Source organism: Homo sapiens, chromosome 5 (assembly GCF_000001405.40).
Source record: "Homo sapiens chromosome 5, GRCh38.p14 Primary Assembly".
Lineage (NCBI taxonomy): Eukaryota > Metazoa > Chordata > Mammalia > Primates > Hominidae > Homo > Homo sapiens.
Genome location: NC_000005.10, coordinates 28330631 through 28335361, shown reverse-complemented (window position 1 = coordinate 28335361; position 4731 = coordinate 28330631). Strand labels below are relative to the sequence as shown.

The 4731-nt window shown below is 34.1% G+C and overlaps 1 annotated feature.

Moving 5' to 3' along the window:
* Positions 1106-1606: an enhancer, noted in NCBI's record as "H3K27ac hESC enhancer chr5:28333863-28334363 (GRCh37/hg19 assembly coordinates)". NCBI's record gives its function as "activates a minimal SCP1, AML or CMV promoter by ChIP-STARR-seq in primed H9 embryonic stem cells {active_cell/tissue: H9 hESC(primed)}" and the evidence as "EXISTENCE:reporter gene assay evidence [ECO:0000049][PMID:30033119]".

Genomic DNA, 4731 nt, shown 5'->3' with positions numbered 1-4731 from the left:
GCCTCCAGTGTCTATTATTCCACACTCTTATGTCAATGTGTACACATTATTTAGTTTCCACTTATAAGTGAGAACATGCCTGTATTTGATTTTCTGTTTCTGAGTTGTTTCACTTAAGATAATGACCTCCAGTTCCGTCCATGTTGCTGGCAAGACATTAAGAGGTTTAGATTATATATTCAGAAACTACATTTTATGAGAATTAGAAAATATTATTGTTAAATTGTCTACACAATCCTTATACAATTTTAAAATGTGACCTTAAATATAAATTTTTAACATCAATCTGTGTATTGGCTTTCACCCTTTAGAGTAAAAGAATTGATTTAGGGTCAAAAGTCACAGATGTTACCGAGAATTTTCACTTGAATTTTTAAGTTACTGTCTCATTTATTGTGATCATCTACCATGAAAGATATTCAATTTGTTCTTGAAGTACTAACGATAACCCCTGAAAGATGCTGTTATAATTTAAGCCAGTGTTTTAATATTCATAAATGGAATAAGTGATACTTTATATGTGGCAAGAGAGGAAAGGCACCTTCACTGTGAAGGACCTTACATATTGTCTCAAACTGCATTATTCAAGAGACAAGACTATAAATCATAAAGAGAAAGGCTAATGAAACTTACCAATCCATATTCTTTTTGTGCACTTGACTTAACCACATTAAGAGTGATTTCGAGATTCAGAGAATTTAATATCTAGTGCATCAATTAAAAATCATAGTCTAATGATGACAATTAAGAAAGGAATATAAAAAGGAGAAATACGGTGTTATTTAGAGTACAGTGATATAGTTAAGAAAAAAATAGCACAAATGAAAAGAATTATAGATCTTTTACCATTCCATAATCATGAAATTGTGGTAAGTACTTAAGTGTGACTTTACAAAATCTTATTTTACAAAGTTATTGATACCCGCAAAATAATAAATAAAAATAATGTTTAGCATTATATCTATATCAAATAAAACACTATATTCCTCATTTAAAATTATAGTTAATTATTAACACATGTAGTATTTTCCATGTTTTTATGTTTTATTATCTCACAGTGAAATAAACATTTAACATATAATGAAAAACAACATATGTTTTTGAGACTTAAGAAAAATATCTAAGACAGATGGACATTGAAAGCACCAAGGCCTTAGTGAGAAAACATTTGTTAATTTTACTTTATTGTTATAATTTTTTTCACAGAAAGCTAAAACATTAAATTAAGAAGAACATATTTTTAATTTAACTTAGCAGCCAGAGCACCCATGCACCTGGATCAGCAGCCTAAGCTGTACAACCCTTCCTGTGAAGAAATTACAGTGAAGCAGTGCCCTCTTCACTTCACACTCAGGCAGATAACTAGGTATTCTGAGCACCCACTTGTCTGAATCAGCATCCTGAGCTGCTCCACTGTTACTGTGCAGAGACAGAGGTACAGCAGGGCTGTCTGCAGTCCATGCCCAGGCATATTTCCATGCACCTGAAATACCTGCTGTCCTGGATTTGAAGCCTGGACCACTCCACTCTGCCCAGACAGAGAACTTGAGGCCCTGGAAGTTTCCCAGCTCCATGCCTGCACACACTTTTCGGCCCTCAGTGACCACCCACTGGATTGTCCCTTAGCACCAGTGCTTGTGCCTGCCCTCAGCAGAACTGTAGGTGGGCTTTTCCAGGCTGGCCCCTCTCTTTTGGTCCCCCACCCATGCTAGGCTGAGCAGGGAGCTCAGACCACTCCATGGATCAGCCTATTGCCCGAGGAAACAGAGATCTTCTCCCAATAAACAAGCTTCTCCTAGCCATGTTAGTTTCAGCTGGCTCTTACCCATAAAAGTCATCTACTGGCTTATAGATCCAACTGCACAGCCCAATATAAAATGTGCTGAAAGTGCATAGGAGTATAGAAGCAAAACCAAAAGCCCTTACTCAACATTCCCTAGAGTCCCAACCCCTAGGGGGAGAGGGAAAGGAAAGGAGAAAAAAAAAATAATAATATTACAAGGAAAGAAAGAAAAAGGAAAAAATCCTACCAACACGAAAATAATTACAAAAATTAAGAATGCCATTACCTCCATATGAAATGGAACCAGTGCAAAAATTCTGGCACCATAAAAAATTTGAAGGTAGTGGTACTACCAAAGGATTACACTAGTTCTCCAGCAATGGTCCTTAATGAAAATGAAAACTCAGAAATGACAGATAAATAATTCAAAGCATGGATTGCAAGGAAACTCAATGAGATCCAAGATAAAGTTGAAAATCAACACAAATTTCTAAATCGATTCAGGAAATGAAAAGAAGAGATGAATATCTTTAAAAATATTAGTCAGAGCTTCTGGAATTGAAAAGCTCACTTAAGGAATTTCAAAATACAATTGAAAGCTTTATCAATAGACTAGCCCATGATGAAGAAAGAATTTCAGAGCCTGAAGATCTGTCTTTCAAACAAACCCAGTCAGCCAAAAAAAAAAAAAAGTTAATAAAAATGTACAAAGTCTTTAAGAAGTATGGGATTCTGTAAACAAATCTTTGAATTACTGGCATTCTTGAAAGAAAAAGAGAAAAAGTAATTAACATGGAAACATATTTGAATAAATGATTCAAGAAAATTCCCCTTATCTTGCTAGAGAGGTAGACATCAGGTACAATAAATCCAGAGTACATCTACATGATACTATGCAAAACTATCATCACAAAGGCATATATACTCACCAAATTGTCCAAGGTTAACACCAAATAAAAAATTTTACAGGCAGCTAGAGAAAATGGTCAGATCATGTACAAAGGAAATCCTATCTGGCTAATGTGGACTTCTCAGCAGAAAACTTAAAAACAGTAGAGATTAGGGACTTTTTTTTAGTATTCATAAAGAAAAGACATTCCAACCAAGAATTTCATATGACTCCAAACTAAGCTTCTTAAGCAAAGTGGAAATAAAAACTCTTCCAGACAATCAAGCAGTAAGGAAATTCATTACCAGTAGGTGAGTCTTCAAGAGATTTTTAAGGGAGTTCTAAACATGAAAATGAAAGGAAAATGAAGGAAAAATACTATCAAAAAAACCCACACATAAATACATAGCTCACAGACTCTATAATGCAACCACATAACAGAAACTACAAGACAACTAGCAAACAACTTCATGATAGGATCAAAGCCTCATATGTCAATATTAAACTTAAATGTACACAGCCAAAATACTCCAGTTTTAAAAGCACAGACTTGCAAATTGGATTAAAAAAACAAGAGCCTTCCATCGGCTGTCTTCAAGAGACCCACCTCACACTAAATAACACTCATAAGCTGAAAGTAAAAAGTTGGACAAAGATCTAGCACACAAATGAAGAAGAAAAAAGAGTATGGGTAGCTATTCTTATATCAGATAAAACCAACTTTAAGCCGACAACAGTTAAAAAGGACAAAGAAAGGCATTACATACTGATAATTCAATTCAACAAGAAATCTTAACTATCCTGAATATATATGTGCCCAACATTGGAGCACCCATATTCATGAAACAACTATCTCTAGACATACAAAAAGGCTACAGCCACACATTAATAGTAGCGGATGCCAACAACACACTTGCAATGTTAGATCATCAAGGTGGAAAACTAACAAAGAAATTCTAGATTTAAATTTGACACTTGACCAATTAGACCTAATAGACATCTACAGAACATTCCACTCATCAACCACAGAATATACATACTTCTCATTTGCACACAGAACATACTTCAGGATCGACCACATGCTTAGCCATAAAGCAAATCTCAATAAATTCAGAAAAACTGAAGTTATACCAACCATACTCTCAGACCACAGTGGAATAAAAGTAGAAATTAATACCTGGAAGATGTCTCAAAACCACAAAATTACATGGAAATTAAACAACTTGTTCCTGAATGACATTTGAGTAAACAACAAAATTAAGGCATATGTTTTAAAATATTTAAAATAAATGAAAACAGAGAAACACTACACCAAAATCTCTGGACTGCATATAGCAAATGTAGTGCTAAGTGGAAAGTTTATATCACTAAACAGCTACCTCAACGAGTTATAAATATCTCAAATTAACTATCTAACATCACATCCAGAGGAACTAGAAAAACAGGAACAAACCCCAAAGCTAGCAGAATAAAATAAATAACTAAAATGGGAGAAGAACTGAATGAAACTGAGACCCAAAAGCCATACCAAAAAAAAAGTTGTTTCATTGAAAAGATAAACAAGATTAATAGATCACTAGCTAGATAAAAAAAGAAAAAGAGAGAAAAGATCTAAATAAGCAAAATCAGAAATGACAAAGGTCACATTATAACCAATTCCATAGAAATACAAAAGATCCTCAGAAACTATTATGAACACCTTTATGTACACAAACTAGAAAATCCAGAGGAAGTAGACAAATTCCTGAAAACACACATCTTCCCAAGATTGAATCAGGAAATTAAAACAAGGAACAGACCAATAATGAGTTCTGCTATTGATTCAGTAATAGAAGAAAACCAACCAAACTACCAATCCAAAAGAAAAAAAAAAAACAAAGAAGGAATTGGACCACATGAATTCACAGCCAAATTCTACCAGATGTACAAATAAGAGCTGGTACCAATTCTGCTGAAATTATTCCAAAACATTGAGAAGGAGACACTGCTCCTTAACTCATTCTACAATACCAGTATCATCCTGACACCGAAATCTGAAAAATCAAAAAGAAAAAATAAT